This window comes from Homo sapiens, chromosome 12, assembly GCF_000001405.40.
Source record: "Homo sapiens chromosome 12, GRCh38.p14 Primary Assembly".
Classification (NCBI taxonomy): domain Eukaryota; kingdom Metazoa; phylum Chordata; class Mammalia; order Primates; family Hominidae; genus Homo; species Homo sapiens.
In genome coordinates this window covers 109,835,922-109,853,342 of record NC_000012.12, presented here as the reverse complement: position 1 = coordinate 109,853,342, position 17,421 = coordinate 109,835,922, and the positions used below count along the sequence as shown (strand labels likewise).

The 17,421-nt window shown below is 48.8% G+C and overlaps 1 protein-coding gene and 1 long non-coding RNA gene across 3 annotated transcripts in view, besides 1 other annotated feature; both read left to right on the top strand.

Annotated features, from left to right (window-relative positions):
- The window catches only part of GLTP (glycolipid transfer protein), a 29,597-nt gene extending 27,199 nt beyond the window's left edge, over positions 1 to 2,398 (top strand). For both annotated transcript variants that reach the window (NM_016433.4, XM_047428937.1), the window contains one exon: positions 606 to 2,398. In NM_016433.4, the coding sequence (NP_057517.1) occupies positions 606 to 788 (183 nt within the window). In that variant the 3' untranslated portion in view covers positions 789 to 2,398. The remainder of the gene's footprint in view (positions 1 to 605) is intronic.
- Positions 7,743 to 8,022: a silencer, noted in NCBI's record as "silent region_4844". NCBI's record gives its function as "represses an Ori minimal core promoter by ATAC-STARR-seq in GM12878 lymphoblastoid cells {active_cell/tissue: GM12878}" and the evidence as "EXISTENCE:reporter gene assay evidence [ECO:0000049][PMID:35858748]".
- Positions 9,861 to 13,016, top strand: LOC105369975 (uncharacterized). Its single transcript, XR_945333.2, has 2 exons — positions 9,861 to 10,011; positions 12,259 to 13,016. It is a non-coding gene; the product is annotated as an uncharacterized LOC105369975 (long non-coding RNA).

The following is a 17,421-nucleotide window of genomic DNA, read 5'->3' as shown; positions in this document are numbered from 1 at the left end:
CTCTGTACTTTTCAAGTATGGGAGCAGCTCTGAAATTTAGGGAAGTATCGCCCCCCTAAGGACAAAAGAGAGACTACAGCATATTTAGCAGTCGTCTCCCCAACTCAGAAAGTGGGTTTTCCGAAGGAGCAGTTCACCTTTTCTGGAGCAGGGAACCCAGAGGGAAGAGACTCACCCATGCTGAACACCTACTGTGTGCCTGGTGTTGTGCTGAGTGCCTACTGTATGCCTGGTGCTGTGCTGAGCACTTTGTACAAGCCCCCTAATCCTTATAAAAGCAACCCGATTAGGTGGCAGCCATTATCCCCATTTTGCAGATGAGGAAGCTGAAGCTCAGAGAGGCTAACTGACTTGCTCAAGGCTCACAGCTAGTTGATGGCCCAGACTGGCATTTGCATCTAGGCTTGTCTGTCCCGAAAGCTGATGTCCTTCCTGCTGTCGCTCAAAATACACCTCCCTTTTCCTTTCCCTTCCAACACCTCAAATAGCACAACCCCCTGTCCAGCACAGACCCAGGGAAGACCCCTCCCAGAACCCTGGCCTGCTGGCCTGGCTCCTCAGCCCCCGCTAACGCTGTGCCTACCTCCCTTCTTGCCTGTCTCAAGGCAGCACTGTACGCAGCACCCTATAAGTCTGACTTCCTGAAAGCGCTCTCCAAGGGGCAGAATGTTACGGAGGAGGAGTGCCTGGAGAAGATCCGCCTCTTCCTAGTCAACTACACGGCGACCATCGATGTCATCTACGAGATGTACACCCAGATGAACGCTGAGCTTAACTACAAGGTGTAGGCATGCCCACTGCTGGACACGTCCCCGACTCGTGGCCACATGGAGAAACAGGCAAACCAGAATCACTGTGAATCAAGTCGGTGAACTGCCCCTGGCCTGTGTCCCCCAGAGCAGCCCAGGGTCCTGCCAGAGTCTGCAGGGGACAGCCCTCGTTTTTTAAGTCTTTTTTTTTTTTTTTTTTGGTCTATTCTAAAGGACCAGTAAATAATGATCTTACTTCCAAATCTCCTTGGAATTTCACGACAGCACAGACTGACTTTATACCTTCATTTCAGCGTGGTAAAAACCGATTAACACTTCTAATGAGTCAAGTCCTAGGGTTTTTTGGTTTTGTTTTGTTGCCAACGAGGAACACAGCTCTGGGGGAATGGTGTCATCCACCTCGCTTTAAAAATAAGCACATGATGGCTGGGCACCGTGGCTCACGCCTGTAATCCCAGCACTTTGGGAGGCTGAGGCGGGTGGATCACCTGAGGTCGGGAGTTTGAGACCAGCCTGGCCAACATGGTGAAACCCCATCGCTACTAAAAATATAAAAAATTAGCTGGGCATGGTGGCGCACGCCTGTAGTTCCAGCTACTCAGGAGGCTGAGGCAGGAGAATCGCTTGAACCCGGGAGGTGGAGGTTGCAGTGAGCTGAGATCGCACCATTGCACTCCAGCCTGGGCAACAAGAGCGAAACTCTGTCTCAAAAAAAAAAAAAAGAGGTGGGTGGATTACTTGAGGTCAGGGTTTGAGATCAGCCTGACCAACATGGTGAAACCCTATCTCTACTAAAAATATAGAATTAGCCAGGCATGGTAGCGCACGCCTGTAATCCCATCTTCTTGGGAGGCTGAGGCAGGAGAATCGCTAGAAACTGGGAGGTGGAGGTTACAGTAGCCGAGATCGCGCCACTGCATTCCAGCCTGGGCAACAAAAGCGAAACTCTGTCTCAAAAAAGAAAAAAAAGAAAAAAAAGCACGTGACCTTATGAGGCTCTCGCTGTATTGTTATTTTAAGGACTATAAAGAGTTTGATTTAAAATTATGCAGGGCCCCTATGTGGGATTTTTTAAAAAGCAAACTGGTGTGTATTCTCATGTGGTTTGCACAGCCCAGCCTCACAGCACTATTGTAAACCCTGCTCTTTCTGTCTCGCTAGACAGATTTTTTTGTTTGTTTTCTTTTTTCTGGTTGTTTTTTGTTGTTGTTGTTGTTGTTTTACAGCTGAAACCAACCAGCAAGCCCTTGATGACCAAGAGGCGTTTCTTTCAAAGCTATAGGGCACAAACAATTGACCATAGATGACTCCGTTTGCATTCTTCTGCAGAATTATTTCCTTCAGGGACAGATTTTCCAACCTAAGAAACTACCTACCGTGTGTATTCTCTTGACGGGGAGAGATGAACCCTTCAGCTGCTAAGATCCAAGAAAACGCCTCACTGCCTTAACCTTAACTGTTCTTCCTGGCGCTAAAAAGAGCTGTATTTTTTAAAGTGCTGGGGCAAACAAAGCAACCCCAAAAGAGTTGATGTGTGTTTTAAAAGAAAAAACCCAATGAGGAACAATTGGAGATTTTTATGCAGAAACTAAATAATCCTTAATAAATAAATCTCTATTTTGGAATCACATCTGTGCACTGTATTGGTTCTTGATTTTTTTTTCTTTCCTGCATCAGAAATTACAACTGGGGACCCTTACAAATCCTACCAAGAATGTATTTTCTGGCGTCCATGGTTTTAAAATTTTATTTATCTATTATTTTTAAATGTTTTTGTAGAGATTGGGGTCTTGCTATGTTGCCCAGGCTGGTCTCAATCTCCTGGCCTCAAGCAATCCTCTTGCCTCAGCCTCCCAAAGGGTTGGGATTACAGGCATGAGCCACTGCACCAGGCCTGGCCTCCGTGGTCTTAAAAAACAGAACTGGTTGCTGCATGGAGAAACGGGAATTTCACATAAGAATCTTGGGTTTCGGCAGGGTGCAGTGGCTCACTTCTGTAATCCCAGCATTTTGGGAGGCCGAGGTGGGTGGATCACTTGATGTCAGGAGTTCGAGACCAGCCTGGCCAACATGGTAAAACCCCATCTCTACTAAAAATACAAAAATTAGCCAGGTGTGGTGGCGGGTGCCTGTAAACCCAGCTACTTCAGAGGCTGAGGCAGGAGAATTGCTTGGAACCAGGAGGCAGAGCTTGCAGTGAGCCAAGATCGCACCATTGCACTCCAGCCTGGCTGATAAGAGCGAGACTCCATCTCAAAAAAAAAAAAAAAAAAAAAAAAAAAAAAAAAAAATCTTGGGTTTCTGTAGCCATAAAAAAGAATGAGTTCATGTCCTTTGCAGGGACATGGATAAAGCTGGAAGCCATCATTCTCAGCAAACTAACACAGGAACAGAAAACCAAACACTGCATGTTGTCACTCATAAGTGGGAGTTGAACAACGAGAACACATGGACACAGGAAGGGGAACAACACACACTGGGGCCTGTCAGGGGTGGTGGGTAAGGGGAAGGAGAGCATTAGGACAAATACCTAATGCATACAGGGCTTAAAACCTAGATGACGGGTTGATAGGTGCAGCAAACTACCATGGCACGTGTATACCTATGTAACGTATAATTAAGAAAAGAACCTTGGGTTTCTAGCTTCTTTTGAAAAACCAGGCTGCCTGGTGGGAGCTGAGAGACGACTGCCCCCTTGGCTGGGCAGGGCAAGGGAAAGGGGAATCAGTTCTTCACTTTGCCTTAGTCTCCACCCATCCCTGTTGCCTCCCCACCCCGGACCAGTTTGCACTTTTTCATGGGCTGTTGTTTTTTCTTATTCTAGGGTTAAATGTAGAGGGAAATATTTATTTTATTTTGTTCCTGCTCCTATAGAGCTTATAATCTAGTGGGCAAGATGGACCGGTAAATCAATAATGATGAAATAGAGTGGTCAGTTCCCAGAGGGAACCTGGAGCCTCAGAGGAGAGGCAGTGTCCTGGGATGTATCTTAGGGAACTGGGGCATGCATCAAGCCTCTGTGGAAGTTCGGGGGTAGGGAAGCCTAGTAGAAGAGGAGGGTCAGGGGACACTTCAAGGCACAGGCAAAGACCTGGTGGCTTGACCCAGAGCAGGCTGTGTATGTGTGTGTCACATTGCACCATTAAGAGATTTGAACCTGACCCTGAAAATTATGGACACCTTCAAGACTCTTGTGTGCAATTGCATATACCCAGGTATATGCAGATACCCAGTTTGGAAAGCTCCCTCTAACGTGGTCAAGAGATGGAAGCCTGAAATAAGTTTTTTCCTGTCTGTGATTTTATTATATTTTCTCTTTCTCTTCCTGCCTTCCTTCCTTCCTTTCTTTCTTTTTTTTTTTTTTTTGAAGGAGTCTCGCTCTGTTGCCCAGGCTAGAGTGCAGTGGCGCGATCTCGGCTCACTGCAACCTCCACCTCCGGGGTTCAAGCAATTCTTTGCCTCAGCCTCCCGAGTAGCTGGGATTACAGGCGCCTGCCACCATGCCCAGCTAATTTTCATATTTTTTAGTACAGACGGGGTTTCACCATGTTGGCCAGGCTGGTCTTGAACTCCTAACTTTGTGATCCGCCCACCTTGGCCTCCCAAAGTGCTGGGATTACAGGTGTGAGCCACCGTGCCCGGCCAATTTTATTATATTTTTTAATAGTCCTCAGATTAGGGATGTTACTGTTCATTCTAAGCTCTAAATGCTTTTTAGGGTTTTTTTCCTTTGGATTTCTTAGAAATACAGAATTCTGTCTCTCCTTTTTAAAGTGATTTTTTTTTTTGAGACAGAGTCTAGCTCTGTCACCCAGGCTGGAGTACATTGGTGCAGTCTCGGCTCACTGCAGCCTCCACCTCCTGTGTTCAAGCAATTCTCCTGCCTCAGCTTCCTGAGTAGCTGGGATTACAGGCCCCCGCCACCATGTCCGGCTAATTTTTTAAATTAAAAAAAAAAATTGTTGTTGTTGTTTTTGGAGACGGAATCTCGCTCTGTCTCCCAGGCTGGAGTGCAGTGGCACAATCTTGGCTCACTGCAACCTCTGCCTCTCGAGTTCCAGTGATTCTCTTACCTCAGCAGGAGAGTAGCTGGGATTACAGGTGCGCACCACCACCCCAGCTAATATTTTTGTATTTTCAGTAGAGATGGGGTTTCACCATGTTAGCCAGGCTGGTCTCAAACTCCTGACCTCAAGTGATCCGTCCGCCTCGGCCTCCCAAAGTGCAAGGATTACAGGCATGAGCCGCTGTGTTCGGCCTTAAAATGATGTTTTCTTGGCCGGGCGTGGTGGCTCACGCCTGTAATCCCAGCACTTTGGGAGGCCAAGGCGGGCGGATCACAAGGTCAGGAGATCGAGACCATCCTGGCTAACACGGTGAAACCCCGTCTCTACTAAAAATACAAAAAATTGGCCAGACGTGGTGGCGGGCGCCTGTAGTCCCAGCTAGTCAGGAGGCTGAGGCAGGAGAATGGCATTAACCCGGGAGGCGGAGCTGGCAGTCAGCCGAGATAGCGCCACTGCACTCTAGCCTGGGTGACAGAGCAAGACTCCGTCTCAAAAAGATCTTTTCTTTATGCCTCTAACATAATACGGTGAGACCGGGAGGGCAATTTTTTTGTGGAAGGCAGGGATTTTCCCAGCCCAGCCCCCGTTCCTAGTACCTGCGGGGACCCTGGGAACATTTTGGGTTTTCTACCCCAGAGACAAAAGCCAGAAAGGCATCTATGCCTTTCCCGTTTCATCCTTGTCAAAGTGGGACTGAGTTCCATCTGGGGCAGGGAGGAAACAACACACATTGGTCACTATATAACGGGCCCTGCAAAAGTGCTCTACACAAATCATTTCACAACCACCTGAGACGTGGACCTCAGTAGCCCCGTTTATCAGAGAAGGAAATTGAACCCCAAAGGGTGTGGCAAAGAGACTTGCCCAGGGTAACCCAGCCAGATATGGGGCCACAGAAGTTTCATGTCCAACTCCAAATCTCCCCTCAGCCGTGTTCACTTGTGTGCCAGCTGACAGTGAGCCTATTTTCAGCACACCTCCTGCCAGAGCGTTCCCACTGATGGGGTGCTGCCTTATCTGACCCAGGTTAACCATACAGAAACCCAAATTAGCTCAAATGTTTGACGAGGGTTGACATTGACTTGTTGATTCATTCAGTTAAAACTCACTGAGCCCATTACAATACAACATGTCAAACCCATTGTAATACATCACTGTTATAGACAAGGAACTGAAATTCACTTTGTAACAATTAAACAGCAGAAGAACTTCTGTCTTTTTAAAGACAGGGTCTTGCTTTGTCACCTAGGCTGGAACGCAGTGGTGCAATCATAGCTCACTGCAGCTTCAAACTCCTGGGCTCAAGGGATCCTTCTGCCTCAGCCTCCCGAGCAGCTGGTACTACAGGCATGCACCACCAAACCTGGCTAATTTTTTTTTTTTGAAAAGGAGTCTTGCTCTGTTGCCCAGGCTAGAGTGCAGTGGTGTGATCTCGGCTCACTGCAGCCTCCACCTCCTGGGTTCAAGCAATTCTACTACCTCAACCTCCCGAGTTGGGATTACAGGTAGCTGGGATTACAGGTGCCCGCCACCACACCCAGCTACCTTTTGTATTTTTAGTAAAGACAGGGTTTCACCATGTTGGCCAGGCTGGTCTCGAACTCCTGACCTCAGGTGATCCACCCGCCTCGGCCTCCCAAAGTGTTAGGATTACAGGCGTGAGCCACAGCATCCGGCCCCAGCTAATCTTTAAAAAAATTTTTTTGTGTTGACTATGTTGTCCAGACTGGTCCATTTTTGTTTAAAGGCCTTTACCCATTCCTGTATGAAGGCTAGGATAATTTTAGAGCAACTGAGATAAAATGCAGAAATAGCAATCACATAGTTTTCAAAACTAACTTTGGGATTAAAGAGGAAGTATGTAGACAACTATAATTTGTTAACGATTTATAGGAACAAGGAGATTTGGCTATTGTCACATGAGAGACCATTACCCAAGGACAAAGAAGTTTCACAAACTTCCCCCTGACCCTTGCTGGCACCCAGATGTCTGCCTGTTTCTTTCCTCCCTTACCTAACATATAAGACAAAGCCAAGCCCATATATACATATATTTTTTTGAGACGGAGTCTCACTCTGTTGCCCAGGCCAGAGTGCAGTGGCGCTATCTCAGCTCGCTGCAACCTCTGCCTCCCAGGTTCACGCGATTCTCCTGCCTCAGCCTCCTGAGTAGCTGGTACTACAGGCGTGCACCACCACGCCCAGCTAATTTTTGTATTTTTAGTAGAGACGGGGTTTCACCACGTTGGCCAGGATGGTCTCCATCTCTTGACCTTGTGATCCACCCGCCTCGGCCTCCCAAAGTGCTGGGATTACAGGCATGAGCCACCACACCGGGCCCAAGAGCATATAATTCTAAGAGGGCTCTTTAGAACATTTAGGCCATTTAGGTTTGCTGGCTCTCCAAAATAAAGTCGCTTTCCTTGCTCCAACTCCTGGCCTCTCGACTGAGTGGCTATCATGCAGGGAGCAGAAGGAGTTTGGACTCGGTTACAACTTCACCTTTCAGAGTTTCAGTTTCCTTATCCGTAACACACAGGTCTTGTTGTGAGGCTTCAATTAAATGTTACCATTTGTAAGGTAATTAGAACAATGTTTGGAGCATAGTAAGCTGCCTTAGTAGGTGTTCAGGTGTTCAATAAAACTGCAAAGATATATTTACGTGATGTGGGGCGTAGCCTGATGAGATCGAATACTGGAGTCCTGGGTCGGCCGTCTATTAGGGAAGTAGACTTGGACAGCTCACTTCACCCCTCTGAGCCTCAGTTTCCTCATCCATACAATGGGAATACCAACAGTTTCTAGCTCACCGAGTCAATGAAGCTGCCCGGGCAGGCGCTTATCTGCGTAATCGTTCAATGTTGACCCAATTACCGTCGTTTGCAGGAGGTTATATGGGGACACGACCCTTCAGTTTTGCTGGTTGGTTGGTGGATGGGTTCCCGGGTTCACGCCGGCCCCACAGCCCTGCGCCTGCGCATTGAGCGCCTGCGCTTGAGCCCCTGCAGCTCCCACGGGCCCGGTAGGTGGCGCTGTCCCCATTGTGCCGCAGAGGCAGAGCTGGGAGGCCCCGCCAGGCCCTGCGCCTCCCCACACCCCACCAGGCTCCTGCCCGCTCCCAAAGTGGGTGGAACGGAGGGAGGGCAGGAGGGGCAGGAGAACTTGTCCTCCTACCGTGCTTGGGCTGTTTCCTAAGGGCTACGTGAGAAGCCTCACTTGCACACTGTTGGGAAAGTTTGCAGCTCCTCCAGCAGGTGTCTTGGGGCCCTGAGTTCACACCTGCCTCAGTGTGGAGGGTCATTAGGTGTGTCCTGTTATTTTCACTGCTACTACTGCCACCAGCACCACCACCACCTAACAATTCTTGGGTTCACGTCCAGGTTCTGAAACTTTGAAGTTGTGTGCCCAGGACAAGTCAGTTCCCCTCTCTGAGCCTCAGTTTTTGCATCTGTGAAATGGGACAGAAACATCTCTACCTTGCAGTATTACATGAAATAAGGCGTGTAAAATACCTGACACATAGAAGATATTCAATAAATGGACTGTGTTAATATTTTTATTAATTATGATGCTACAGCCTGCCAAAGGCTCCTGAAAGGACAACTGGTTCTTAATGCAGTTAGTTAAACCGGATCATTTTCACCTACTCCCTGTTCTTGTTTGTTTTGAGATGGAGTCTTGCTCTCTCCCCCAGGCTGGAGTGCAGTGGCATGATCTCGGCTCACTGCACCCTCTGCCTCCTGGGTTCAAGTGATTCTCCTGTCTCAGCCTCCAGAATAGCCAGGACTACAGGCATATGCCACCAGGCCCAGCTAATTTTTGTATTTTTTTTTTTTAGTAGAGACAGGGTTTTACCATGTTGGCCAGGCTGGTCTTGAACTCCTGACTTCACCTGATCTGCCCACCTCAGTCTCCCAAAGTGTTGGGATTACAGGCATGAGCTACCACTCCTGGCCTACTCCTTGTACTTGAAGATACAGTAGGGCCCTTCTCAACACATCAACAAGGAACACCAGAAAATGTTGTGCATTCTCAACTCTCACTCTGCCCTGATCCGCTGTATGACTCTGGGCAAACCTCTTCTGTCCTCTGGGTCTCAGTTTCATCTTTAAAATTGGGATTAGCAACCTAAATTCCCACTGATGGACAGTGGAGAAAGAAAATGTGGTATATACAGACAATGGAATGCTATTTGGCCTTACGAAAGAATGAAATCATGTCATTAGTAGCCAACATGGCTGGCAGTGGAGGTCATTTTGTTAAGTGAAATAAGGCAGGCACAGAAAGACAAATATTGCATGTTCTCACTCATTTGTGGGAGTTTAAAAAAAAAGATCTCGTGGAGATAGAGAATAGAATGATAACCCAGGCATGGTGGCTCACGTGTGTAATCCCAGCAGTTTGAGAGGCCGAGGTGGGCGGATCACTTGAGGTCAGAGTTCGAGACCAGCCTGGCTAACATGGTGAAACCCTGTCTCTACTAAAAATATAAAAATTAGCTGGGTGTGGTGGTACACACCTGCAATCCCAGCTACTTGGGAGGCTGAGGCAGGAGAATTACGTGAACCCAAGAGGTAGAGATTTCAGTGAGCCGAGATCACGCCACTGAACTCCAGCCTGGGGGACAGAGCTAGACTCCATCTAAAAAAAACAAAAGTTTTTTTTGAGACTTGAATGATAGATACCAGAGGCTGGGAAGGGTGTGATAGAGGGAGGGCGGGATAAAGAGGTTGGTTGATGGGTACAAACATATAGTTAGGTAGAGAAATAAGCCCCAATATTCCATAGCAGAGTAGAGTGACTACTATAGTTAGCAAAAATGTATTGTATATTTCTTTCTCTTTTATTTTTTTGAAACAATGTCTGTCTGCATCACGCAGGTTGGAGTGCAGTGGCCCAATCTTAGCTCACTGCAACCTTCACCTCCCAGGCTCAAGCCATCCTCCTGCCTCAGCCTCCCAAGTAGCTGGGATTACAGGCACGCATCACCACGTCCAGCTAATTTTTGTTGTTGTCATTGTAGTTGTTGGAGATGGATTCTCGCTCTGTCTCCCAGGCTGGAGTGCAGTGGCACGATCTTGGCTTACTACAACCTCCGCCTCCTGAGTTCCAGTGATTCTCCTGCCTCAGCCTCCTGAGTAGCTGGGACTACAGGCATGCGCCACCAAGCCCAGGTAATGTTTTTGTATTTTTAGTAGAGATGGAGTTTCCCCATGTTAGCCAGGCTGGTCTCGAACTCCTGACCTCAAGTGATCCAGCCGCCTCGGCCTCCCAAAGTGCTGGGATTACAGGCGTAAGCCACTATGCCTGGACCTAATTTTTGTATTTTTTTGTAGAGACGGAGGTTTCATCAGGTTGGCCAGGCTGGTCTCGAACTCCTGACCTCAAGTGGTCTGCCCACCCCAGCCCCGCAAAGTGCTGGGGTTATAAGCGGGAGCCACCGCACCCGGCTTGTATATTTCAAAGTAGCTAGCAGGGAGGACTTGAAATGTTACCTACTCACAGAAATGATAAATACGAGTGATGGATACCCCAAATACCCTGACCTGATCATAACACATTCTGTACACGTAACACTCACTTGTACCTCATAAATATGTAAAATATTTCCTGTCAATAAAAAAATAAGTAAAAACAATGTACACTACTCTGGTAACAGGAACACTAAAATCTCAGACTTCGCTGCTATACAATTCATCCGTGTAACCAAAAACCACTTGTTCCCCAAAAGCTATTGAAAAAAATATATATATATAAATTTAAAAATAAATAAATAAAAATAAAACAAAATTGGGATTAGATAGTTCAAAGTTCCTGCCCAGCTCTGACAATCTACAATGGATACCTTTTTTTTTTTTGAGACGGAGTTTCTCCCTTGTTGCCCAGGCTGGAGAAGTGCAATGGCGTGATCTTGGCTCACCGCAACCTCTGCCTCCCAGGTTCAAGCGATTCTCCTGCCTCAGCTTCCTGAGTAGCTGGGATTACAGGAGTGGGCCACCACGCCCAGCTAATTTTGTATTTTTAGTAGAGACAGGGTTTCTCCATGTTGGTCAGGCTGGTCTCCACCTCCCAACCTCAGGTGATCCACCTGCCTTGGCCTCCCAAAGTGCTGAGATTACAGGCATGAGCCACTGCACCCGGCCAATGGATACCTTTTACCACTGTATCCAGCTCCCGGTTTGTATTTATAAGTTCAGTAAAATCTACACTCTGCTTCTGACAAGGAATGGGGCCACAAATGCAAATACACTTAGCACAGCGCCTCCTGCCAGGGGGTGCTGGATAAAGGGCAGCTGTGAAGATGATGCACCCTTAATCAGTCCTTGATCTGACCCAGAGAAGATTGTTTGGAAGGGATAGTCATTCAACCCCTGTTTGCTGAGCACTTACTATGTTCAACGCTCTGAATTCGGCTCAGGGGATCTTGCAAGAAGACAGATAAGGTCTCTCTCTCTCTCTCTCTCTTTTTTTTTTTTTTTCAGACAGAGTCTCACTCTGTTGCCCAGGCTGGAGTGCAGTGGCATGATCTCGGCTCACTGTAACTTCCGCCTCCCAGGTTAAAGCGAATCTCCTATCTCAGCCTCCCGAGTAGCTGGGATTACAGGCGTGCGCCAGCATGCCCGGCTAATTTTTGTATTTTTGGTAGAGATGGGGTTTCACCATATTGGTCAGGCTGGTCTTGAACTCCTGACCTCAGGTGATCCACCTGCCTCGTCCTCCCAAGGTGCTGGGATTACAGGCGTAAGCCACCGGGGGCGCCCGGCCGACAGATAAGGTCTCTATTCCCCAGGGGTACAACAAGGTCCAGTGCGCAATGAATCCAGAGAGGGAAATGAGCAGTGGAGGACAGCAAAAGGGGTCATGTGATGGAAATGACTACAGACCCCTGATTTAGATTGGAGTCCGGGTGGGCAGAGCTCTCTGAGGAGGTGACATTTCAGCTGGGACCTGAAGGGGCATAGCTAGTGCAAAGGCCCCGGGGCAGGAGAGAAAGCAACATGCACCAAGGACAGAGAGAGGCCAAGGTGGCCAGAGCCTGGAGAACAAGAGAGGGTGGCAGTGGGTGATGAAACCTACAGGTGCTGAGGCCAGCGTGAGTGTGGTTTTTGGTCTAAGAACAGGGGAAGTCATCGCTCCTGTGAGTAGGGGGCGACAGAGCCAGTTTACAGGTTGCAAGCTGTTAGCCAGGATCTATTTCTAGGGGTTCCTTTGGGGGACTCGGAAGAGAGGCTGTCCCCTCCCCTGCCCCAATCCAACCTCTGCTCCTGCATGGCTGGGTAAAGTGAGACTTCCTCACACAAAGTGTGCTTTACTTTGTTGGGGGCACGGAGTAGGGAGGGTGTCCCCAGGCCTCTGAAAGTCATGATCCTCTCTCTAGAAGGTGCTCCCTCACCCCCTCACAATTTTACTCCCTGTTCTAGGACCTCCATGGACTCCCAGTTGCCCACCCAGGGACCCCAGCTTGGAAGTCCTGAATCAGCCTGCCTTCCTTGGGACCGAGGCCTAGACACTCCCATCCCTGCCTGTGCCATCACCTTCATATGGAGGCTATCTTTGAAGTGCCCGTGGCCAGCTGTGACTGGCCCTACCCACAGGCCACCACGCCCAGCTGCCCAGAGGAATGGAATCACAGCCAGTGGCTGGGCAGCTGAGAGTAGCTGTGCCCATGGCAACGGTCATCTGAGATGAGCTTCCTCTCCACCTGGCCTCAGGTTTCTGGCCCAGAGAGAATTCCAGAAGAGCCTCATTGAAGGTCCCTGGCAGGGTGGGGCCCTGCTGTCTGGGACAAAAGCTTGCTATTCTCGGGACCAGGGTGGACAGAGCACTGATTGTCTGCAGCCTCTTTGTGTGCAGTCTCTGTGGCTTCTTGGTAAATGGAAGATGTGATTTCATGGGGAACCTGGGAGACCATCAGACCCTGTCTCCTCCCTGCTGTGTGACTGTGGGGAGGTTCCTTCACCTCTCTGGGCGTGCTTCCTCTTGTGCAGCTGGATAGAGCTCATGAAGGCAGAGCCCTACACAGTGCCTCTGGCACACAGCAAGCAGTGCATAAATGCATACTTGTTAGCCCTGGTGCTTCCCCTACCCTTTCCTCCCTAGTTTCCTGTGTTTTTCCTTCTTTTCGTCATGATTTGAGCCCCTGTGTGGCATTCACTGGGGAAAGAGCAAAGAAGGCAGACCAGAATGTCTCTCCATATCTCCCACCCCACGCCTATCCCTGATCTCATCCTAGGGGGTGTGAACAGGGACCCCCCTCGGTGGGTCCTGAGGCACACAGGACAGTGGGAAGCGGTTGCTTAGTGGCTGAAAGGTGCAGTTGGAATTCAGAATATCCTGGATTTGAATCCTGATGGCACCATTGGCAGGTATCTATCTCCTCGGGTAAAAGGCTTTCACTGTGTGTGGAGCCTCAGTCTGTCGGTCTGCAAAAGGTAGGGGAGAAGACCTGCCCATGGGAGGGGTGGTTGAGATGAAGATGATGGGGAGGAGGGAAGAGGGGCTGAGAGGCTGGTGCAGGAGGGGCTGAGAGGCTGGGATTTGCAGGGGTCCAACCCCACATGGTGGCCTTGGCTACATCCATACCTCAGAGACCCATTCCAGGCCCCCAGGGACCCCGACATTAACTCTTGGCCTAAACCAACCCCCAGCTGGGCTAAGGGGAGGGGGCGGGGTTGGGGAGGGGTCATGGAATGAAGGAAGGGAGAGAGCAGGGGCAGGACAGCAGGGAGTGTGGGGAAGGAGAGGAAAGAAGTTTCTGCCTGGGGAGTGAGGAGGAGAGCTATGCTTGCTGTCTTTTGGACTCAGTAGTTCCCATTCGTAAAATGGGCACAATCAAATGGGGAAACTGATGCCCACTTCACAGGGTTGCTGGGAAGGGAGATGTGAAGGAACACACGGGAGAGCACTGGGTGAAGCTGGAAGCGCTTGGGTGGGAGGGCACATGAAGTTAGTCTTGGAGGAGGCGGGGCCCCATTGTGGGACTATTTATTGAACAGTTACTGTGTTCCCGAACTGCCCAGCCCTCACAAGCCCTATTGTGTTTAATCCCTACAACCTGAAGAGGCAGGGGAAGTTACTGCTCTCATTTTACAGATGAGAGAAGCAGGGCTCAGAGAGGCAAAGTCACCTGCCCTAGGTCACAGCTTAGAAGTATGATAGAGCCACACCCAATCGTTTTGATCCTAGAGATCATGTCTTCTTCTTCTTCCTCCTCCTCCTCTTCTTCTTCTTGTTTTTTTTTTTTGTAGAAGTGGTTTCTCACTATGTTGCCCAGGCTGCTCTTGAACTCCTGGCCTCAAGCGTTTCTCTTGCCTCAGCCTCCCAAAGTGCTGGGATGACAGGCATGAGCCACTGTACCTGGCTGTCTTCTTCTTTTTTTAAAAAGAAAATTTCACAGCAGCTTTATTAAGATAGTCATATACCATACAATTCATCCACTTAAAGTGTACTCTTCAATGGTTTTTATTTTATTTATTAATTTAATTTTTAAATTTTTTTGAGTCTCATTCTGTTGCCCAGGCTGGAGTGCAACAATGCGATCTTAGCTCGCTGCAACCTCTGCCTCCCAGGTTCAAGCGATTCTCCTGCCTCAGCCTCCGGAGTAGCTGGGATTACAGGCGCTCATTACCACGCCCGACTAATTTTTATATTTTTAGTAGAGATGGGGTTTCACCATGTTGGCCAGGCTGGTCTGGAACTCCTGACCTCGTGATCCTCCCACCTTGGCCTCCCAAAGTGCTGGGATTACAGGCATGAGCCACTGTGCCTGGCCTTCAGTGGTTTTTAGTATAGTCATACATATGAGCAACCATCACCAGTCAATTTTAGAATATTTGCATCATCCTATTTGGTTGGGTGTGGTGGTATGCGCCTGCAGTCCCAGCTACTCAGGAGGTTGAGGTGAGAGCATGGTTTGAACCCAGAAGTTAGAGGGTGCAGTGAGCTGTGGTTGCACTGCTGCCCTCCAGCCTGTGCGACAGAAAAAGAAAAAGAAAACCCATACCCTTTAGCTATTACCCTTGGCCCCCCAAATCCTCCCTTCCCCCCAGCCCCTGACGACCACTCAGCTCTTTTCTGTTTCTATAGATTTGCCTCTTCTGGCCATTTCATATAAATGGAATTATGTAATATGCGGCCTTTTGTGTCTGGCCACTCAGCATCCTGCTTCCAAGGTTCATCCATGTTGTTGCATGACTCAGTAACCATTCATTTTATTGCCAAATAGTATTCCTTTGTGTGGATATACTGTGTTTGTTTATCCATTGAGAATTTGAGTTGTTTTCTTTTTTTGGCTATTATGAATAATGCTGCTATGAACATTCAAGTTTTTCTATGGACGTAAGTTCTCATTTCTCTTGGCTATATTTCTGGGGTGGAATTGCTGGGTCATATGGGAACTCCAGATTTTTTTTTTTTTTTTGAGACAGGATCTCACTCTGTTGCCCAGGCTGGAGTGCAGTGGCACAATCTCAGCTCACTGCAGCCTCTGCCTCCTGGGCTTAAGCAATTCTTGTGCCTCAACCTCCTGAGTAGTTGGGATTGCAGGTGCCCACCATCATGCCCGGCTAATTTTTGTATTTTTTTTTTTAATTAGAGATGAGGTTTCACCGTGTTGGCCAGGCTGGTCTCAAACTCCTGGCCTCAAGTGATCCTTCCGCCTTGACCTCCCAAAGTGTTGGGATTACAGGCGGGAGCCACCGTGCCTGGCAGTAACTCTAGATTTAATATTTGGAGGAACTGCCAGACCGTTTTCCATAGCAGCCACTCCATTACACATTCCCACCAGCAGTGTGCGAAGATTCCAGCTTCTCCACTTCCTCATCCACACTTATGGTCTGTCTTTTTGAGATCATATTCTTTTTTTCTTTTTTTCCTAGACAGGGTCTCACTTTGTTGCTCAGGCTGGAGTGTAGCTGCCTGAACACAGCTCACTGCAGCCTTGACCTCCAGGGCTCAAGTGATTCTCCTGCCTTAGCCTCCCCAAATGCTATGATTACAGGTGTGTGCCGCCGCACCTGGCCAGGAAAATATTCCTGCTGGTCATGCTACACTGTAGAGTCTGCTGGGCTTGGGTTCAAATCTTACCAGTTGTGGGATGATCTCAGACAAGTGGCCTCTTTGTGTCATTATCTATAAAATGGTGGAAGAATTCCTCCTTTCCAGGCTGTCAAAAGATGAACTGAGTTAGTGGCAGGATCAGGACTGTGCCAACTGTAAAGTGAGGTGCACGTGTCTTGTTTTTATAACTGGGTACCCTGGGTATAAAGTCCCTGAGATCCTGACCTGTCTGGCTCACCAATCTCTCCCCAGCATCTGGCACTGGACCTGGCATACAGTAAGCACTTGGTAAATGCAGACCCTTGGCTGCTGCCCAGGAACCTTTCTTAGGGGAGGTAGCTGAGTCCACCTGGGGCAGTCCAGGAGCTACGTGGAGAGCAAGGCTGCGCCCCACATGTGGCTGCCACATGACTCACAGCCAATGCTGAGGGCCTTGAAAGTTTTTCCTTCCCTAAGAGGAAACATTATTTCTGGCTAGGCACAGTGGCTCATGCCTGTAATCCCAATGTTTTGAGAGGCCAGGTTATGAGGATCACTTGAGCACGGGAGTTTGAGACCAGCTTGGGCAGCATAGCGAGACCTCACCTGTACAAAAAATAAAATTTAAAAAGCCAGGCTTGGTGACACACACCTATAGTCCCAGCTATTCAGGAGGCTGAGGCAGGAGGATCGCTTGAACCTAGGAATTTGAGGCTGCAGTGAGCTATGAGCAGGCAACTGCACTACAGCCTGGGCTACAGAGCAATACCCTGTCTCTCTCTAAAAATAAAAAAAAAAAGATTAAAAATTAAACTTAAAAAGTATATTCATATTGTTGTGTGACCCTCGTTCATCTCCAGAACTCTTTGCATCTTGCAAAACTGAAACCCTACGCCCAACAAACAGCAACCTCCCATTCTCCTCTCCCCCAGCTCCATCAACCAGGACTTTTTTTTTTTTTGAGATGGAGTCGCTCTCTGTTGCCCAGGCTGGAGTGCAGTGGCACGATCTCTGCTCACTGCAACCTCCCTCTCCCAGGTTCAAGCAATTCTGTCTCAGCCTCCCAGGTAGCTGGGATTACAGGTGCCCACCACCATGCCCAACTAATTTTTGTATTTTTAGTGGAGACGGGGTTTCATCATGTTGGCCAGGCTGGTCTCGAACTCCTGACCTCAGTTGATCTGCCCACTTCAGCCTCCCAAAGTGCTGGGATTACAGGCATGAGCCACTTCGCCTGACCCATCAACCAGTATTTTTAAAGCACCTACTAAGTGCCAGGTGCTAGACCTGTGGTCATGAACACGTTCCCTTGCTTCATGGACACTGGTACCCATTTTTTAGGTGAGGAAACTGAGGCACAGAGAGAGAGGGAGGCTCTTGCCCACAGCTCCCACCACAGCTCCTTCTCCCATCAGCGGCAGGGCAGGATTTGAACCCCAGTGTCTGGTGCAGAGGCCAAGCTCCAGCTGCTTAGCCCAAGATGAGTCACTTCCCTACATGGGGGCCTCAGTTGCCCCATCTGTGAAATGGGGATCAGGAAAGAGCTG